The sequence below is a fragment of the Homo sapiens genome, chromosome 13 (assembly GCF_000001405.40).
Source record: "Homo sapiens chromosome 13, GRCh38.p14 Primary Assembly".
NCBI lineage: Eukaryota > Metazoa > Chordata > Mammalia > Primates > Hominidae > Homo > Homo sapiens.
Window position 1 is genome coordinate 102,281,810 of NC_000013.11, and position 21,966 is coordinate 102,303,775.

General features: G+C 37.6%; 1 protein-coding gene and 2 long non-coding RNA genes across 24 annotated transcripts in view; 1 reads left to right on the forward strand and 2 right to left on the reverse strand.

The window, feature by feature from the left end:
* The window catches only part of FGF14 (fibroblast growth factor 14), a 691,640-nt gene that overhangs the window by 571,006 nt on the left and 98,668 nt on the right, over window positions 1–21,966 (reverse strand). Inside the window, exon 2 of one of the 21 annotated variants that reach the window (NM_001321941.2) lies at window positions 12,165–12,231. The exons of the other annotated variants lie outside the window; for them this stretch is intronic. Coding sequence (NP_001308870.1) covers window positions 12,165–12,171 — 7 coding nt within the window. The 5' untranslated portion in view covers window positions 12,172–12,231. The remainder of the gene's footprint in view (window positions 1–12,164; window positions 12,232–21,966) is intronic. 21 annotated transcript variants of the gene reach the window in all.
* LOC107984615 (uncharacterized) overlaps window positions 1–21,966 on the forward strand; it is a 34,537-nt gene that overhangs the window by 3,522 nt on the left and 9,049 nt on the right. The window contains exons 2-4 of one of the 2 annotated variants that reach the window (XR_007063856.1): window positions 16,078–16,209; window positions 16,659–16,701; window positions 19,610–19,674. This is a non-coding gene — a long non-coding RNA (uncharacterized LOC107984615). The remainder of the gene's footprint in view (window positions 1–16,077; window positions 16,210–16,658; window positions 16,702–19,609; window positions 19,675–21,966) is intronic. The other variant, XR_001750082.3, reaches the window with a different exon arrangement.
* FGF14-IT1 (FGF14 intronic transcript 1) overlaps window positions 10,511–21,966 on the reverse strand; it is a 102,200-nt gene continuing 90,744 nt past the window's right edge. The window contains exon 4 of the long non-coding RNA NR_036486.1: window positions 10,511–12,231. This is a non-coding gene — a long non-coding RNA (FGF14 intronic transcript 1). The remainder of the gene's footprint in view (window positions 12,232–21,966) is intronic.

Consider the following 21,966-nt stretch of genomic DNA (forward strand, 5'->3'; position numbering starts at 1 on the left):
ACACTACATGTCCATCTAGATATCTTACTAAATAACTCACTATCTATGTGTCCCAAACAGTGGTGGCAACAAGGGATGACCAGGTCAAGATTGATCATTTCTCTACTAGGCACCTCTCACAACTATACCAAAGAAAGAAAATCATATGTCCGTACTGCAAATGCAGCAACTTCTTCTACCATCTTAGGCCCCACACATATAAATTCAGAAGATGCCACAGAGGCTGACCTTGCCGCTTCTCCTAACCCTGCTTCTTTTTTTTTTTTCTTCCTTTGAGATGGAGTCTTGCTCTTGTTGCCCAGGCTGGAGTAAAATGGCACGATCTCGGCTCACCGCAACCTCTGCCTCCTAAGTTCAAGAGATTCTCCTGCCTCAGCCTCCCGAGTAGCTAGGATTACAGGCATGCACTACCATGCCAAGCTAATTTTGTATTTTTAGTAGAGATGGGGTTTCTCCATGTTGGTCAGGCTGGTCTCGAACTCCCAACCTCAGGTGATCCGCCCACCTTGGCCTCCCAAAGTGCTGGGAGCCACCACGCCCAGCCTCCTATCCCTACTTCTTACAGGTTATCACATAAGGAATCTGAGCCACTTCTTATTTTGAAATTATTTCATCTGTCTTAATGTCAGTTTAGTATCTGTAACAATAACTTATTTCATTTTCTTTCCAATGAAATATATCTTTATCTCCATAATACTTAGTGTTCCATAATGATATGTGGAATTGAAGGGCTCTCTACAACACAATCTCCTCATGCCCACACCTACCTTCAACATTTATCTTAAGCTAAGCCACTAAGAGCTTTCTCAAGTTGTGCTTCCTAAAGCTGCAGTTCTCAAAATCCACCCCACATACCTATGAAGCCCATATAGGAAGCCCCATTTTAAAAATAATTTTTGTAATCGAATAAATATTAGAAACACTTCACACCTCCTCTTGGAGATTCATTCCAACCACTATTAGGTCACACTATTTTCACTCATATTCCATTGGCCAAGGCTGATCACATAGCTATCCAATAAAAGTTCTGAGAAGTCATGCAATTAAAAAAAAAAAAAAACCTCTCTAGCTTCTTTATGTCAATGTTTTCCAAACCTTTTATTAAGTTATGTTTATTAATATCTGAAAAACGTTAGGATTCAGATTATCTATGTTGAAAACTAGTAGTGGTTTAGATAAGGTAGGCATTTATCTCTTTCTCTGAGAGAGCACAATCAGCCCAAAGCTTGTATGGTGGTTTCAAGGCTCCTTCTATCTTGTTGCTCTGTGGTCCTGCAAAAGCAACTTTTCATCCATGACTGCCCCAGCTCCTGCCATCACGCTCATGTTCCACTCAATGGAGACAAGAAAAGAAGGGGACATATTGCACTCTTTTGAGCAAATGACCTGGGAATTGGTTACACTATTTTCACTGAAATTCCATTGGCTATGGCTTGATCACATGATCACAACTAGCTACAAGGGAGGCTGGGAAATGTAGCCTTTAGCGACATGATCTTATGCTCAGCTGAAACCTCTTTTATTACTTTAAAAAGAAGAAGAAGAGAACAGAAAATGGAGAAGAATTTGTAGTCTCTGCTATAACAGGTCCAGAACCCCTTCTGGTACATGCTGGGCTAAAGACCTGATGAATGAGAATAAGATTATGGAGGATGCATATTAAGTGATCTAGAAGGAAGTGTTTTACCAGCAATATCTAACATCTTCAAACGTTCACATTGAAAAACAGTCCTTTGCCATCAATTTTATTTCACCATTTCTTCAAATTTAGTGTAAATTCCAACCATTCTTAGAAAATTCCTTTATTAAATATTTTTAAATATTTTCAAAGATTTACAGTAAACAATTTCTCTGAACCTACTGTCCACTGTAACCATACTTCATTGAAAAAATGCAATCAAAATTTCTTTTCTCTAACGGTGTGTATACAAAAGGGAAACATTCAATTACATTAAATAATTTGTTTCACTCCCTAATCCTTAAATTCAGGTCTGCCACTCACTAGCTTTGTAACCATAAGCAGGTCAGTTGATTTTTCCAAGTATCAATTTCTGAGTCTCATTTCCTCTGTAAAATGAAAATAATGCATACTGCAGTATTGTTGTGGGGTTTAAATGGAATAATGCATATATATGTCAGTACGTAGTAGGTAGTCAATCATCGTTGGCACTTACTTTTGCAGGCAAAAAGTAGGTATTATAACTAGATGATCCTTAATATTCTACATTTCTGTGATTTAAAAAATAGTAAAGGGTGGGTAATGCAGAAGTGCTGGCACTGGAACTTCAGGCAACACTGTAGTAAATTGGTGCTTTTTCCCCCGCAAGAGAGAGCAGCTTTCTTGATGTCATCTCAAAGTCTAGGAAACAGGTCTTGCATACACAAAAGCATATTTCAGATGGCATAGCCAGAATGTCTCCAAATCGCAACTCTGACAAAATCAATTATAAAACTTCATAAGATTATCTTGATCTTATAAAGGACTGCCCCTCATGAAGGACTCTATGAAGTCCTCAATAAAATTTGTTGATGACGGGAATGACTTAGGGTTGCTGGGTAAATAAGGCAGAACCTAATGATAAATGTAGCAAAGTCTTAATGAAAAAATTCATTAGTAAAGTTTACTTTGGATAAAGTTTAACCTTTGCATAATATGAGCAATAAAGGAATAAACAGTGCAATGACCTCTCACATTAAAAAATGAAAAAAATATTATTTAAAAATAATGAAATTGGTCTAGATGCTCTCTAGATTTTTTTACTCTAAAATTTTAAGAAATTTACAATATTAATTTCAGTGTGAATTTTTTTAGATTAAATACAATTCTATGCATTAAGTACAAGTACAGAAAGCCATCTGAGTTCGACAGTCAGCTATAAAATAATAGAAACACAAAACTAAAGCATTCCAGCAGGAATATCAAACATAAATGCTTACTCATGGTTTTGATGCAGACAATCCTACTTTTAAAAAATTAAATGGTATTTTTTACCGAGGAGTAAAGAAGACCCTAAATAATTAATATAATCATTGGTTCTTATTGCAAATAGTCAATGTTTAAGTCTTAGCTCTCTCTCACCCTGTCATTCTTCCTTTTCTATTTCTCTCTCTCTCTCCCCCTCCGTCTCTCTCTCCCTCCCTCTTTCTCTTTCTCACCACTTTGAGCTGTATACATTACATTTTTCAAAAAGAAGGAAAAGAAGAGTCACCAAAGACACAAAAAGTACAGAAAAAAGAATGAACCTTGGAGGACTCCATGACTGAACATATTTATTCATTTAGAAATTGCAGCCACAAGAACACATCTACTTATACTTTCCTAATGTCAGAGGAAATTTTTTACAGAGCAAAGGATAATACTCATGAGTCCATAATAAATCCCTCTGGTGATCTGATTAATGTTCTTGGTACCTGGATTAATACAATTTTTTTGGTTATACATTCTGCTTCGAAGTGAAGACTTATTTTATTAAGAAGAATTTCTGGAATGTGTGATGTTATATAAATGTATTTCTGGTAGCTATTTTTCTGGAGATAATAAGAATTATAGAAAACTCACTTTCTTGGAATGGTTTACATCCGTGAATTTCAGGAATTAGACTGAACTGACAGTTGGTGGGGTAAATGCTAGTTAAGACTTATATCAACAATAAACTCGGTTCTTCAATAACCTGGAAGGTTACACTAAGAGTTAATACCACACAATCTCTGCCCTGAATTCTTCTGTATTTTGATATTAAACTGTTTGAGAGTACACTACATTCCAACATTTCTAATGATTTTTCTTCACAAACTCTCTACATTTTTAGACCTGTGTTTATTCAGCAAATGGATAAGATAAATCTCTGTGAACTAGCCAAATAATATCTTGATGCCTTTTAATACATTGATAGCATTTAATCAGTACCCAGCACTGTTCTAAATATTTTAAATACTTACAACTTACAATAGGGTAGGTATTATTTTTATTCCCATTTTCCAAATGAAAAAATGGAAGCAAAGAGAAAGAAAGTAATTTGCCTAAGGTTACAACAGCTTGTAACACATGAAGTCAAGGCTGATACTTCAAGGCAAAGGGTTGCAGAGTTGCAGAGATCGTAGTACAAGATAGAGGATTGGTGAGGAAGACTAAGGAGGGGGTACCCCTCATGGAACAGGATTCAATAGCAAAGCAGCATCAAGAAGGAAGGAAAACTCACTGGAATTTATATCCAGAACCATTGGTCTGAGACTCCTAAAACATCCTCAGAGAGCAAAATAGGTCTCATTGTTCACAACAGGCTCCAACTTGGTAGAGGGAGGTAAGTAGTCTCGTTCATGAATGTTTTTATTTAGGGGCCAGCGTTCCTAAGCAATCATTGCCATATTCTCACCAGGTTTGTCCACAAGCTCTCTCCTGCATGCATTATGAGCACTAACTATTTAGCACCAACTTCCCTGACCACGTTCTCCCCCGCCCACCAGTCTGCCCCCTCCCGCTGCCCAGAAAGAAACCCCCTGCTGCCCAAAGCTCACCCATCACATAGGAACTGGTCAAGTTCCACCTCTTCCACAAAATGCCCCCTTTCCTCTTAAATACCTAAATAGCTACAGCATTTGTCATCTGTACTTTACACTCAGTCACATATTTCATTGAAATGTTTTTGCTTCTCTGCATGAGTAACTAACCTGGGAATTCTCTGAGGCCAATGACCATGTAGTATTACTTCTCTCTATGTATAAGTATTGCTTAACTCATAGTGCTCATCATGGTGTTTGCTCACACAAATTGCCTAATGGGTACTTGTTAAATAAATGTATCCGTGAATGTCATAACTTCCATCAACCCACTATTTGTGGTGCATAAGAAAATGCTCAATAAGTCCATACTGACTAATGAATTATTTCACTGTTGAGTCAGTAATTGTTTGCAGTATTACAACAAAAGACTGTGATCCTAATCCAGTACTAGTTATTTAAAATAAATAACATTTAATATGTGTCAAAGGCACTTTGTATAATTCTACAGGAGCCACACTATGGACTAATCCCTGGGATTCATTTCTAAAGAAGGCAAACATTTTCCTTATTCTCTCAAGCCTAGTGAGAATACATTGCATCCCTGGTCATTCCCTCCCTATCTTTGACACATACTTGACAATGGTTGTGATATTTGAGCTTTAATAGTCATGGGGGAGGGGGAGGGGGAGGGATAGCATTAGGAGATATACCTAATGTAAATGACGAGTTAATGGATGCAGCACACCAACATGGCACATGTATACATATGTAACGAACCTGCACGTTGTGCACATGTACCCTAGAACTTAAAGTACAATAAAAAAAAAGAACAAACAGAAAACAAAACAGTATTTCAGAGAAAAAAATAGTGATAGCGATTAGGAAGAAGGCTAGTAACTCAAGGCTACAGTCCCTGGCTTTGATTTTGCTTTGACCGTTCTGTAAATGTGCATGTACACAGCATGCTTGCATGTACTGCGTCTGGTGTAATACTAAGACAATGAAATTAAATGTGACTGGAGGTTAAATAGCAAAGCCACCTTAGTTTATGACATTATTTGGATATAATCACTATAATCACTATGAACATATCTGTTTCCTAGTAACTACTTAAAAGGTAGACATGCAATTTAGGGGATAATTCTTTCTGAAAACATCTCTATTAAGGCCATGCCTTTTTTTCTTCTCCTCTGCAAAATGTTTTCGACTTGTGTTTTATTTAAATTTCAGACCAGAATAGTACAGCAGATTACATAGTAACTTATATCTCCACAATGAGAAAATACCTTAGTTGATCAAATTTCTAATACTGAATGTTTAATTTTTAAATGTTCTTGTTTTTAATCTGAAAGGCTGAAGAAGAGCTAATAAAATATATCACATGAAATTTTAAAAGTGAGAGATAAAATGTATGCAGACAATATTATTCCATTTACTTCCATGCTAAACCCCTTACTTTATTACAGACAACTTTGGGGGGATAATCCTCTGGCCACTGGAGTCCAACTTTTTACCTTTGTCTTCCCACTACCTAAGCACAGCAGAAACTCTCTAATCGTCTTCTTATTCCAAACATCAGATGCAGTGCCTGGCACACAGTAGGCATTCAGTAGTTGTTTGTTCAATAAATAAATGAGAATCTTTTGAAGCCACACAAATGAACTAATAATATCTTTTGAGGATGAATGATAAAAAGCATTTGCATCAGAGAATAAAGTAGTCTTTGAAGTTGAATCTCTCTAAGAGTCTAAAAATTCAAAGGCTCTTCTACATGACCATGACAGTTTATTTTATTTCAATACTACTTTGAAACAATGACTTCATTTTCTCCAGCTTTTTTATTTTCCTCAATCATAATTAGAAAAGGCTAATAAAGTGGTCATGTTTATGTAATATTGCCAACTAAAATCTACTGCAAACTGGTGAAAACAACTTGTCACAACTAACAAATAATGTGAGCCTTATTCTCACATATCCTGTTATTCACAATAATTAACAGAAAAACTGGTTCAAAGATCTAACTTTGTATTAATTCTAAGTGCAGCATAAGAGATTTACTTTTTTACTATTCCATAATAATATTCATAGAATTAAAACAAAACAAGTACTTTGACTCTCTCAGAAGAAAAATATTATTCCCATAAATTTTAAATAGTCCTTTCATGACACAAAAGTATCCACTTTTTGCTTATTTGTGGAGTAAAATACATTTCCTATATTTTTATATATCTATACAGCTGATGTCTTTTCTCATTTTTTTAAATTTATTTAAAATTTTTTTATTTTTATTTTTGAGATGGCGTCTCACTCTGTCACCCAGGCTGGAGTACAGTGGCAAGATCTCAGCTCACTGCAACCTCTACCTCCTGGATTCAAGCAATTCTTCTGCCTCAGCCTCCCAAGTAGCTGAGGTTACAGGCGCCTGCCACAATGTACAGCTAAGTTTTATATTTTTAGTAGAGATGGGGTTTCACCATGTTGGCCAGGCTGGTCTCAAACTCCTAACCTCAAGTGATCCGCCTGCCTTGGCCTCCCAACATGCTGGGATTACAGGCATGAGCCACCACTCCTCACCCTCTTTTCTCATTTTTAAAAGCTTGTATCCTTCAACATTTTTCTCTATATTCTGTGAATTTGTCAGGTTTCTTTTTTTTTTTCAATTGGAGTACCAATAAATGCCAAGGTTAGCCAATGAAAGCCTGGGCATTATAGGATGTCACTAAATTGATTTATTGACCCTTTGCCTTACAACACCTTCAACATCAGAGAAGTAGGGATTCAGTCAGAAACTCCTCAACACTTAGTATTACTAGAATTATGTTACCAATTAAAATTTGTTCATCACTCCTTGAGTGTGGTCTCTTGTGAGCCCTGTAAAGAATTAAACAAAAAGTGATGAAGGTTTTAATTCCACCATGGGTCTGCTTGCCATCACTATATTTCTAGATCTCATTGTACACATTCATACATTGATACACCATTCATTCCCAGCATTTCCCACATGCTTACTTTTAATGGTGTGATAATCTGATTAATGGCTTTCTAGACCATTAGAAAACCCATTGAAACTCTTTTGGTAAAGAGCTAAAATTAAATATTTTAGGCTTTGTGCACCAAAAGTTATTTGATGTAACTACTCAAGTTGGACATTATAACATGAAAAACATCATAGGCAATATGTAAAAGAATAAGGATGGCTATGTTATGATAAAATTTTATTTCAGTGTCTGTACCCCTAAATTAAATTCACATAATTGTTTACATGACACAAAATACTAGTCTTCTTTTAGTGTTTTTCAGTCTTAGCTTGAGGGTTGTACGAAAACCAGTAGGAGGTAGGTTCAGCTTGCAGATCGTAGTTTGCTGACCCCTGCATTAGACTTTCAGACCCATAAGAAGAGATTCTGTGTCATATCTTAATTTGCCAACATAGGTACAGGCCTTAGACAATGCTCTATACATTGTACATGCTCAACACATGCTTAGAGGATGAATCACTGCTAAATAATTTATGGTTCTCTTAATACCATGGTTACCTTGTTCGTGTGTGAATGATTTTTTTGGTCTCTCTCTCTCTCTCTTTCCCTCCCTCTCTCTCTCTCTGCCTTTCTCTCTCTCTTTCTTTCTAAGATTCTAGTGAAGTCAGAACGTGGTAGCCTGAGAGGGTTATTCTATTCTTAAAGGGTAATTCTTACTTTAAAAGGTAAGTTATTTCTATTAAGTTCAGGATATTTAGAAAGAGACTTAGTTTTCAAAGAAGAGCTCAGTTGAGTAACTCAAATGGTACAATGAACTGAATGATTATGTCCCTTCAAAATTCACATGTTGACAGTCTAATCCCCAAGGTAATGGGATTACGAAGTGAGATTTTTGGGAGGTGCTTAGGTCATAAGACTGAAGCCCTCACAAATGGGATTAGTGCCTTTATAAAGGAAACAGACAGCTCTCTTGTCCCTTCTACCACCTGAGGAAGCAAGGAAAAGGCACTGTCTAAGAGCCAGAGTATGAGCCCTCACCAGACACCTACCCTGACAGTGCCTGGATATTGGACATCCCAGCTTCCAGAACTGGACAATAAACTTCTGTTTAGCTTATAAGCTACCCATCTTAGGGTATGTTTTATAGCAGCCTGAGCAGACTAAGACAAATGGTAATAAGCCACACAGCACATCATCAAAATTGTCACTGCTACCTTCCTGGAGCAGCCTGAGTGCAACAGTTAACAGTCTCCTAAGATTGAGAGAAACATATCTTTGGCTCTCTGGACCCGATCTACTTTGTTCTGGTGCCAACTACCAACTTTTCCATTAAATTCTAGTGCTGTGCCTGAGCCCAGCACCAATGTAGTATTGTGTCCTTCTGCATATGCAAGACTTGGCTGTGGTCTTCAGCTTTATTCTGGAGTAAGTGATAGGGTACAGCCCCGAGCTAGGTCCAGGGCTACTGTCACTCCTACCAGAGCAGATTTATTGCTGCGTCCCTCCACAATCCTTAAAATCATATAGTCATTTTCACCCTACGCAGTTGTCACCAGCCCTTGCCACAGCTACCATGCCTACAAAATGACATACCAGCAGCAAAGGATAACTCTGTCTTTGTGAGACCTACTCTGTGGATCTATGCAAACCTATATAGTTTGAATTGTTCTTTAGGGGAGCATAAGATGTTGCAGAAACCAAGTACAAATTCTATAACCAATAATATTTTGAAAAATAAAAAGAAAAAATCAAAACAAAGAGAGAGTTAAAATGGAGCAATAGTATTTTATAGCTAGTAAGCTGCATGTTTTCTTGTGCATGACTCTAAAAGCAGTAAAAAGATGCTTTGCTAAAAAGCATGACTGATAGAAATTTTCTAACTTTTCAGCCACACGCTGTTGAAAATATTTCTACCAACGAAATCAAACCAGTCTTATAAATTATCTACATTCCTTCATGAACCATCATTTACAAGTTACAATTAAGCCTTTTCTTCTTTTGAAACTGTCTTTACAAATATTACTCTGGTAATTTTATATATGGGGTTTGGTCCTACCTTCAGATTAGAGAAACTGTATTTTGAGTTCTGAGTAGAAGGCAGAGAGGAACTCGCTAACATGTTCATAGGATTTGGGAGGAAAAAAAGTCTAGAAGTTTTCACAGTGGTGCTAGGAGAAGCTTAAAGGAGTGTATTCCTTCCCCGTGTCAAGAATGTGTTCTCTATTCACCAGAGTAAATAAATAACTGCATAGGTGTAAATTAAAATAGATAGATCAATAAATAACATTTTTTAGAACCAGAAAAATCAGCATCCATCAAGCTGAGAGTCCCCACACAATACCATACTGTGGGGTGTGCTATACTGAAGAAACCAAGGAAAGAATGTTAAAGACTTGATTGGAATAAAATCAGACCCTAAGAATAAGGCTGGGAAAAAAATACAGAGCTCAGAGCCCAGCAGCTACGTACACCTGAAAGGATTCAACAGGTCCCAGGAAGGTGTCTGCACCTCTGCCCTGACTCCTCCAATGCTCTGGTTTTTACCACCTCAAAAGGGAGGTGGTATCACTTATTGTAGGACCCCAGGCCGACCCTCCTGCTTGTCCACATGGTGCCTGTGGTGCCTACTTGGACTTAAAGTATAAAACTTGGAAGCATTTAAAGGGTAAGAGAAATGCTTGAGAGTCGCTGCAGTGAGTCAGCACATTAATGCTGACTCCACAGTTATCTGGATTAGAGCCGGCCTTGTCTGTGACCTGGACTCTCACTTTGCCCAATCCCAAGCGCTTGCAGAATGGCTGGCTGGCCGGAGCCCCCGCCAATTTGTTTTTCTGGCTTGCATTTCATTATTTAACATAAACCAGGAGTCAGTACTAAACCAGCCTTCTAGTTCTCATATCTTTCATCATCCCAGAAATTGACAAAAACTGACAGAGTTGAGAGGATGTCTCATTTTACCTGCCAAATATTTCCTACCTTATACTCTATAGCAAAAAAAAAAAAAAAAAAAAAAAAAAACTGACAATTTCAAAGCATTTTCAAAGCAGAAGATTTTAATGTATTGTTATTCTTGAGGATAAATCTTTCAGGATATTACCTTCCAGAATTTCTGATGTAACAGGAAAGAGTAAGATCAGTATCTGAAGCAGTTTCCACAGATAAGACTAGATCATTATATTTTTTAAAGATATGTACATGGACATCAGCTTGTTCTGGGCTCTCGCATATATCTACTACAGTGTCAGACACCTACCAAGTGCTTAATAAGTATGAATTCTTAGCTTTTCCTTCAGGGTTTTGGGTAAGCCTTTGCAATTCCCAAGTCGAAAGTCAGCAAAACGTTATATATCAAACAAAAGAAACCACCTCACCTACAACAATGGGCCTGAGACTCAGCAGGATGAGAAATATCTTTTTATGAATACAGTTTTTAAAATATGGAGCCACCCCACATAATAAACAGCAGGACAGGTCAAGTATTAGACACAATGAATGACAATGGGTGGCTTGGGCGTGTCTTCTGAACACAGTGGGCCATAGCCATGGTCCTCATTTCTTTCTAATTGGCACATGTGACATCTGGACCTCTCTATTAGCCTGAAGTCACAGCACTTTGTGCAGGAACCACAGATTTAAAGAGACCTTGGTATGTATTCATAAGGCTGAAATGAAGATCACATCTGCGCAACTCCACCAGCCCTTTCCTCAAAGTCTCTCCAGGATCGATGATTAAGGAAAGCAAGATGATTGACAGGTAGTACTACAAGGATTAGCAAATTGCAGCTCCCTTCTCACCACCCCACTGTCTGTCCATCTCTGGTATCCATTCCTGCCTCTCACCTCCCAACTACCAGGCTCCGTGTTTCTTCCCCTAGACAAGATGATGAAAGCAAGAGATCAGGTATTCAAAATTGCCATGAAGGCTCTCTCTTCCTTGCCATGCCATCCCTGGCATCTTGTCAGTTGGCTTCCAAGTTTCAGCATTCACTCTGTAAAATGAATTAATTTATGTGAAATTTGCTGATAGATGCAGGATCAGCACTCTCAAAAAATGACAAATCTTCCTGATGGAATTTGTCTTTTAATTGTCTTCCCTTGGAGAATACATATTTTCACTCTCCCTATTGCTACCATAGGTACTGCATTTGTCCTGATCAGCACAGTAACATAAAGAGGCCGTAGAGAAGGCATATGGCCGGCTGCACTTTTCATTTCCTGGTTCTCTGTTGACAGTATTGCTTATTTCCAGATGGATAAATAGTTTGCACCTTAATGTAATCAAAGACTGAAAAAAAGATGCCACTTGAAAAACATTTGAGAAAAGAGAAAAGAAGGGGAAAATAGGCCTCTGAGGTGGTATCTATAATGTGGTACTGAATTTCACTCTATCTTCACAAACAATAAACCTCATGTTTTATAACATTTTACTGAAGCATTATTTTCTAATAAATCCCCTTTTGTTTTGATTCTTGTTGCTGTATAATAAGCAAAGAAGAAAAGAACAATGGCTGGAAATTCTGTCTGTGTGATTTGAAGTGCTCTCACTTGCATGCTGAGAAGTGTTATAACGAATATTTTTGGCATCAGCTGATGATAGCAGCTTGGTACTAGCAGCACTTGATTCAGAATGTCATATGATACAATAATACACAAATTGAGTGCACAGAGGGGGAAAAATCATGCAACCTGTCATAGGTACAGCGATATTCCATGAGTATTCAGGGCTGGAGATGTAGAAGTAGAAACCTGAAATCTGAAATATGAAAAAAATGAACAAACACTTAACATCCACAAATACCAAGCAAAAATTAACAAATGAAACATAGCAGTTGTTATGCAATCATAATACAAGAGGCTTCTCTAGTCAAAATCTTATGGCATAAATCTATGAATGATCTGCTACAACTAAAGTACTCAAGTCAATGGGAAAACATATTTATTCAAATAAAATGTCTTTTCTATGACTTTTTAACAACTAATTTTCTTAAAATAACAGGCCTTTTCTCCATTGCTTAATCTTCATCTTCCACTGACTTTTTAACAACTAATTTTCTTAAAATAACAGGCCTTTTCTCCATTGCTTAATCTTCATCTTCCACTGCTTTTTTCTAGAAGACTGTTTGGTCCAAAAAAAAAAAACAAACACATCCTGAATGATTAGGAAAACTACTAGGACTGCTTTATTTAAAAATTTATTTAATATCAGCAGGGAATTTATTTCATGTTATCTCTAAAAATAAACACATTCTAAATATTAACTCCAGGGGCATTCTTTTAACCCCGTGGCATCCACTTGGCTTGAACTCTGTCACTTGTGTTTGAATATTTGAGTGGTTGCTGGGAACTAGATTGTCAATTTCTGTTTGCCCTCCCCTCCTTTCTTATTTCCACTATTTCTCCAGTGGTCAAAATAGCTGTTTCCTTCTGATAATATTAGTGAAATTTTTCTAGTTTCACTTTTCCCTAGTCTATATAGTTAGACTGCCATTGTCCAAGTTCTGGCTCCCTCAGAACCATCTGTGTGACCTCTATCAAAAGACGGCTCTCTCAGTGCCTCAGTTTCCTGATCTACCTCCTGAGGTTACCGTGAGGACTAAATGAGTTACAATAGCACTTAGAACAATGTCTGGCACAGAGTAAGCTCTGTGTTAATGTTCTCAACTTGAAAATTGAAGTGATTTCATTGTGAATGCTATTATTCAAAATATTTTAAAATACCTACTTTGATTTGTTTTTCTCCCATCAGTTTGTGGATTACTTTACTTTAAGTAGTTGGTATGATTATTTTAAGTTGGCCACCCATAGGAGTTTAAAACCAGAAAGAACCATAAAAATCATGTTGTCCAACTTCTACAGGAGGTTCTTCATCATTATGATTATCACCAGGCATTTGTTCCTCAGTTAGTTATACTTCTTATCGATTCTGGTGCCACTGGAGCGCATTTTTATCTAAGCTCGGGGCATGGAGATGTTCTCAACCGTATCTACAAATTCACTTTCGTCTCTGTCCCTCTCATCAACATCTTCTGAACAGTAAAGATCATCACTCCACCATGCACTGTGATATCTAATGGTTCGTGGTGTAGGCAAAGAGGATTCCTAGTTACTCTAGACTTTTCCTTGCCCCTTAGCAGCCTTAAGTTTTTTTCTTGTCCTTTGACTTGTACGGTACTGTGTGGTTTGTGATACCTTTGCACTGTGTGGTTTGTGATACCTTTGCACAATTATTACACAATGGATCCTAAAACCAACTTTCTAAAGGTCGGCGAAGCAGGCATAATTATTCCCTCATTCTCCCTCAGGGCACTGAAAATCAAAGGCTAGGATCTTGCCTGAGATTACAGAATTAGAAGTACCAGAGAGAAACATAAAGTCCAAGTCTTAGGATTTTCTCTCCAAAGGTTTTTTCACAGCACCACATTGCTTTTACCCAAAACACATTGCTTCATACAACCATATTAGCAGAAGCAAATACCTCCGCAATGGGCAGCGACCAAGAAAATGACAGAAACGATAAAATAATGTCTGAATGGGCAGTAAAATATTTACACCATTCAGCAGCTCTGGGTCAAGTTCACACTGAGGCCATCCAGATGATGCAGAGATTGCGAAAATAGATTCCTGAGTTCCCTATCCATCCAAAATGGAGTTGAAAAATAAAGTCCCTTTGAACTATAGAAGAAAAAAAACAGAAGAATTGACCTCAGTCGTGTTGCTCCTTAATGTTGGTTATGTAGAACTGAGTTTGCATTGTCAGGACCACTGTTTCTGTTCCTTTTGGAAGGTTAGAAAACCATTGTTATTTGTATATTTCAACTCTACAATTAAAAGTTTTGCATCCCCTTCAGATATTTAGGTAAAATGAAGTTGGTGTGACATTTCTCATCATGTCTCCCAGGCCCACAAAGAAAACAGATGGTCTCTGAGTTCTAGAGATCTCTTTGTGTTCTATATTAAAATGTTTTCCAATAGATTGACATAGTGTAGGAGTCTGGCTCTTCATTAAAAAATTGTTTCTTAGGATTTCTGCAACTTCTTCTGAAAAGTATAAGATTTTGAGTTATCGTGGTTTGCAGCTTGGTGCACAAAACCCCTCTGCACACCGTATTGGAATCACTTTGCATTTTTGGGGTGGTCTGCAGAATAGGGCAATGGACTTATGGACACTTCATTGGCCTTGATAATCCCTGATGTACTGCAAGGCAATTAGCAACTAAATTTTTGCTAAGTGCACTTAAGAGTAATAAGAAAAATTAAAATGTCATCAAAATGCTAACCACAGATTCAACTAAAACTGAACCAAAGAATGGCATATTTAGTCTTGAGCTTGAAGACCTAAATCACACAACTATAGAAGCACAATTGTGCATCCATAGTTCTCCATTTCTCCTTCCAAACCACTTCCCCCAGAAAAGCAGCTTTGGAGACTGTCTTTACTTCAGTTAGATGCTAAAGCTCAAGAAATGTGAAACAACCCAGGGAAACTAGAATTCAGCAGCAGTGCTAAGACAAAATTAAGTGCACTCCTTTCAGCTATTCATGAAATCCTCATAAAGAGGCCAAACTATTGCATTCTATCATGGAGATAACATAGCTGAAATAATTTACATGTTTCCATTTTAGTGTAGTAAATCACCCCAGCATAAAAATCACACAAATATAGCAGAAGTTATCTTACCCATGATCTACCTACTAGAATCATTTAATCAACAACAACAACAACAAAAAAAGTAATTTTACAGTGGAATAACATGACTATGCTAGCTCAGACAGGTGCTCAAAGTCAACATCAATGGTGATAAGTCATACTGATAGTATTGGTAGATAACCTTCAAGTGATGGGAAAAGGTGGCATTTTACCTCGGATTTTCCTCCCCCCAGAACCCATAATACTCTTCTAAACATGAAGAAAATATCAGACAAATTCAAATTGAAGAACATTCTACAAAATACTTGAACCAAAGCTCTTCAAAACTGTTCAGGCCATCAAAAACAGGGAAAGTTTGCAAAGCTGTCACAGTCTAGAGGACCCCTAAAAAGACAGACGACTCAATGTAACATGGTATCTTATATGGAAAACTGGAACAGGAAAAGGACATTAGGTAGAAACTAATGAAATCCTAGTAAATTGTGGGCTTTAGTTAGTAATAATGTATCAATATTGATTCATTAGTAGTTATGACAAATGTAACATACTTACATAAGAGGCTATGTAAGAGGAAGCTGGGTGTGGGATATAATGAGAACTCTGTACTCTCTCTGCAACTTTTCTGTAAATCTAAAACTATTCTGAAATAAAAGGTTTATTACAAATAAAAAAGGGCATAGGGGTTCATGCTTATAATCCCAGCACTTTGGGAGGCTGAGGCAGGAGGATTGCTTTAGCCCAGGAGTTTGAGACCAGTCTGGGCAATACAGCAAGATCCTACCTCTATAAAAAAAAAAAAACAATCAAAAAATTAGCAGGGCATGGTGGTGTGCATCTGCAGTCCCAGCTACTTGGGAAGCTGAGGTGGGAGGATGGCTTGATCCCAGGAAGTCATTAATGACTGCATTATTAAATGAACCAAAACTATTTTTTATCTCTTCTGTTTTACAGTTCAATGTGATGGTGCCCGTGGAAAGCTGGCCACAGTGGCTGGGATGCCCTCACAGAATGTGCATGCAGGGAAGTTCTCGTCTCAACAACACATGGCCGTAATTTTGTTTATACACATTGTACTGTTGCAGTGTAAGAATTTTTGAAATCACAAGTATAATTGCAAAAGACAGAGTTATTTCTATGAAAAATGGATTGGATGATTTGGCAAAACCCGGTAGAGGCAAATGTCTAAGAGTATTTATTTAAGTACATGTGTTCTCATGCCATAAACGACTGGGGGAAAAAAACTCATGAAAATCAAGAAGGATGCTGCACTCAGCTTGCTTATGTTCTTCAAGTTCTGCTCCACTTAAAAACACCAAAATTAGAAATCATAGATCGTGGGTGTGATTTCTGCAGGAACTCAGATCAGTTCAACCCTAATCAAAGAACACAGGGTGGAGCTATCTCAAAGTACTGATGAATGAGCATTTATATATTTAATATAAAATAAAATGTTCAAGGCATGTGTGTATCATTTTTAATAATTGTCCTGTTTTACTCTCTATTTTTGTGAATTTATCTTTTCAATTAACCAGTTGCTCCTGATCCCAATTGACTAACGAAGACATTCTATTGAAGGTGATTTTTCATTTTACCTTTTATGTGTTAGTATTTTACAGTATGTCTTTTACCATATGTCCTTTATTTGGTAAGTTCCGGTTTTTATTTTACACTGTTTTATAATAAATGCGTTGTGCACTTCTGTCACCTTTTTTTCCCTGGTGGACTCTAGACACAAGGGTGATTGCCTAATTATACTGTGCTGCTTATAAGAAGCAGATTAGTTAAGTGGCTTCTTAGATGAACAGTGCAAAGTGCCACATGAAAGCTGGAGGAAAAATATCCCCAAGAACAAAAGAGCTTTAAAATGTTGTTTTATTTTTTAAAATTCCGGTGTCTGAGAAAACATCATTTCTTCAAAATTAAGTGACTCTATTTTCTAAGAACTCTTAAGTAGGAGCGAAGATGAGAACTGAATAAATGTGATGTGCTTCTCTCTTGGCCTCTAGGTAATAAATTCTGCACTATACAGATTACACTAGACGTGAATCTGTTTCTTGTTTTATGCTGAGAGCAAGATCACTAAGACATACTTTACCTTCCTTAACAGAATCTATCTTTCTCAATGATGGTGATAAAGCAGATTTTTCTACATTGGTAGAAAACTCATTCTAATCGAAGTTGAATAGTTCCAAGCTGTTAGAATTTTCTAAGCAAAAGAATAGCAAGATGCTCCAAGGATACAACAAATGAAATTCAACGGTTATTTACAAATTCAGCTGTTCACCGAAAACGAAAAGCTTCTTAAAAAATTAGGGTGGTTGAGTCTGAAGTATGGTTTGGAGAAGTGATTTTTTTAAATAGGGTATTTATAAAAATATACTTGAGAAACCAATCCAGGGGAGTCAAAATGGATGCAACCAAACCTTAAGAATATAAAGCAGTGCAAACAATCCAAAAGCAGTGCTTCTTAGGATTAAGCCATGTGCACATTTAAAGGTTAGGAGAATTTCAGCGTGTGGCTTGGCTGGACCTTTTCTGTTTCCATTACGATCATACTATTGTCAGAAATCCCAGCTAGCAAGCAGGCAAGAGATCATGAGGAAAATCAAACAGGAGTAGAACCACTGGGGCTGCCTGAATTTCTACCTGCACCTTTCCCGATTTAGGCAAGGAGACTTGGCTGGACAGCGGGAGGTGGAGAGGGAAAGGGATGGTGACAGAAGGAAGGAGGAGGCCCCGGAAGCGAGGTCTCAGGATAGCATAGGCTCCCTGTTTCTTTTCCTTTCTTTGCTTCCTACAAGCATTAACCTTGAGCCTAAAAGCACAATATGAGGAAATAAGCAAACAAGATGAGGGGCAGCACCAAAGAAATGCTCTAGGCCCTAGGAAGGTTAGATTTTTGAGAACACATCAACTTGGGTAACACAAAATATGAGTAAAAACAAATATGAGAGAAAAACATATATGTAAACTGAACACAAAAATTGAATTGAACCATTAAAAGTTCGCTGATCTTATCCCTAAACAAACTTCTGGGATATGTGTATTTCATCATTCGTGTGTTTGAAATTAAATTTTATTTAACTGGTATTTTTAAGCTAACTGTTCTACCACCAAAATCAGTTTTAAAATACACTTCTAGTTTCTGCTACATTCTCATATAATTTAAAATCAGCCGTGTGAAGAAAATACAAACCTTAGATTCAAAGCCTAGAATCAACTATATACCTAAAATATACCAGAACTGATTGTTTTATAAATGAGCAACAGTGAGCATTCTTCTCTTTAGAACCTGGCTCATAACTCATCTCTCCCACCAACCTTCTTGTTGCTTCCTCAAATCTTCCCTTCTCTCCAGCTGAAAACTACAGCATCATCATACATATCTGCCTTCTTCTCATGTTAAATGTAATCTATGCCTCGAGAATCTCACCTAATACCTGCTGGACATTTCTAAACAAATGTCCATATGTACCCCCCTCAGCAAATTATTCAACAGCTGAAAAGTGTCTTTCTCCAGATTTGACAGTCTTGTTGTATTCCCTAAAGAAGTTAATGCCAACCTCATCCTCTCAGTTGCTCAAGAGCAAAACTTCTACATAATCTTCTATAACCCTTTCTCCCTGGCCCCTCATCTCTAATCAGTTACCAAAGTGTGCCCAATCTATCTCCGTACGGACTATAATTTACAACCCCATCAGATTTTAAGCTCTATCATAGTAAGAATATTAGATTTGTTTGAAATACTGTACCCATTACCCAGTACCATATCTGGCACAAGAAGATACACAGTGCATATTTGTTGACTAAAGTTATATATTACTATATCTAAAGGCAATTATTTTAGTTGTTAGCCTTTATATTTCACATAATCACACATGAGAGGATTTTCAGGGATCTTTTGCCCATCACAGAACACTGATCTAAATTTGCTTATATTCCCTGTTTTCCTGACGCCCCAAAGTCCTTACCAATATGCACACAGACACACACACACACACATACACACACACACACACACACACACACGTTTAACCTTAACAACATTTCAAATTGATAATCACTATATAGAAATTATTTTTAAAAGAAAAAGGCTATTAGGCTATTATCTTTTTTTCATCTTCTAGGCTTTCCTCAAAATAAAGTGGAAAATTGGCAAGCAATGAGTCAATTTGATAAAATGTAAACAGTCAAATGAAATAGATCAGGCCAAATGCTTTATTGAAATATTTAGTTTCATCCATCTACTTAATTGACAAAATTGGCCATATTGTTAAAAGTTTAATTTATCTCAGCCTTGCTGATATATCTATAATCAAAAGCAGCATTTTGGAATGGAATAGTTCCTTATACATATTTATATGGAGTTGACTTTTTAAAAAGAGTTTTCAACAAAATTTCACATAATGTAGCTGATGTATAATGACTAAGAAAAATAGGAAAACACAATTCAATTGACAGTTATGAATTTCCTACTTTGCAGACAATAAAACCTGCTAAGAGTATGTTGGAAACACCAAATAAAACATGGGCTCCTCAGCTATTGGGGTAGGTAGATAAAAATGTAAATTAATAAAGGAGGTGGATTATAGTCCATGACAAAGTGGAAAAACAGAAAGCTTTGACTTCTGAGCTTCTGTCCTCTCCCTCTTGCCCTCTCATCTTGCTTTACCCATTCCCTCTTGAACTTGGACTTACCAGTCAGGACTCACTCCACCTCTGCATGCATGCAGATGAGCACACCTGAGGGGAAACAGGCAGCTCCACAAGCACACTTTTCTTCAATCTATGACGACTAACCTCAAGTGCGCCTTTAGTGCTGGAAGGCAATCTTACAGTATTCCCTGGAGATCATTCTATACCTCCTTTCTTCTCAAATCTTCCTGTACTTCACACACACACACACACACACACACACACACACACACACACTTTACTCTCAGATAATGGTTTTACTTCTGCCTTCACTGAGAAAGAAAGGAAGTGTCATCGGAAGAACACATGCCCACCACCATATCTGACAGCCACCTGCCTCTGTGTCCAGACACTCTGTCTTCCTTTCTGCTACTTTTGTCAAAATGTCCACACTTTTAGATAGGGCCTCCTCCTCCACCTGTATCCCAGATCCTTCCTCACACTGCTTGTTCAAGAGCATTACCACAGCAGTTTTTCTCCTTGAGTATTCTTTGCTTTCTTACCAGATTAAGGAGAATTCAAAAGGTTTTTAAAATACTATATCTAGCATATTGAATTGTTTTCTGCAGAGCATTGAATGGAGTGCCAGTTAACCATGTTGGAGATATATTAGTGGTTAATCCTCAGTTACATCTCACTTGATCCATCAGCAGCGTTTTATACAATTAATCTCCCCTCTTTATTAAAACACTCTTCCATGTGGCTTCAGGAATCATGCTTGCTCATTCCTCCCATCAGATGTTTTTCCAGGTTCTTCCTCAAATCCCTGTGCTGTAAAGATCAGCCTGCCCAACAGTCCAGCTCCAAACCAGGCCTTGTCACTATCTATACTGATTTCCAGGTGGAGCCATGGACTCAGTTACTAACAACTCCCAAATTTACATCCCCAATCCTCACCCTGTGCCCCAAATTCCAGACTCAGAAATCCAACTCTCTGCTCACCACCTCCACTTAGACATCTCTTAAAAGCTTCTTAAATGTTGCATGTCTGAACCCAGACATTTGCTCCCAACTGCCAGATATCTTCCCACAAACTCCCAAACTCAGTGATAACTCTCTCTGCCCAGTTGCTCAAGCCAAAATAACTCGAATGATCTTTGACTCCTGTCAAGTCTACTTCCAGCATATGTCCAGAATCTGACCTCTCTCTACTCTCTCCACCAAAACCACCCTTGTCCACCCAACCATTATCTTGTGCCTGCACAATCTCTAGTATTTCATTCTAAATCTGGCCCCTGCCATCTATTCCTACACAATAGCCAGAGTGGTCCTTATAAAACATAAGTCAGATCCTGCCACTCCTTCACTCAAAACCCTTCAGTGTTTTCCTGTCCCCTAGGAGTTAAAGGCAAACCCCTCACTATGTCCTACAAAGTCCTAAATGAGCTGCCCCCAGAAGAACATCCTGCTTCTCTGACATCATCTCCTACCACTTTCTCCCCGACTCACTCTGCTCCACCCAAAGTGGACTTCTTGATGTTGCCCAAGCCAGGAATGCTCCCACCTCGGCATCTCTGCGCTGGCTGCTCCCTTTGCCTAGACTGTCTGTGTTCCCCAGACACCTGTATGCTCTTTCTGCCACTCTTTCTGTCCTCTGGGCAAATGTCAGTGAGGATTTCCTTAACCATCCTACACAAAACAGCATCTGCTCCACAGTGAAAGCACTTGCTCTCCTCCTTTTCTGTTTTATTTTCTTTATAGAATTGATCACCATCTTAAACACTTTGTATTGTTGTGCTTACTTTATGGTTATAAACACACCATGAGGATGGGGATTTGATCATTTTTTTCAGTTCTGTTTCACAGATTTCAAAACTATAAATAAAAGGAAATCAATAAAGAATTGCCAAATGAATAATTGAGTGGAAATTTTAAAAAGATATTTATATGAATAATCAAATCTAACATTTATTGGGTGTTTGCCATCTATCAGGTTCATTCAGTATTTTGCAGGTACTGTAAACTCCAATTTTACAAATAAGAAAGTTAGGGCTAACAGAAATCAAATAACTCACCAAATGTCCCACAGCTATAGCTAGTATGTGGTGGACTTGAGACAGACACTCAAGCCTGCTTCACTTCACATCCCAACCCATTGTTTTTCTAAATTGATTCCATGTATCTTATGGTTGTGTCACTGCCACG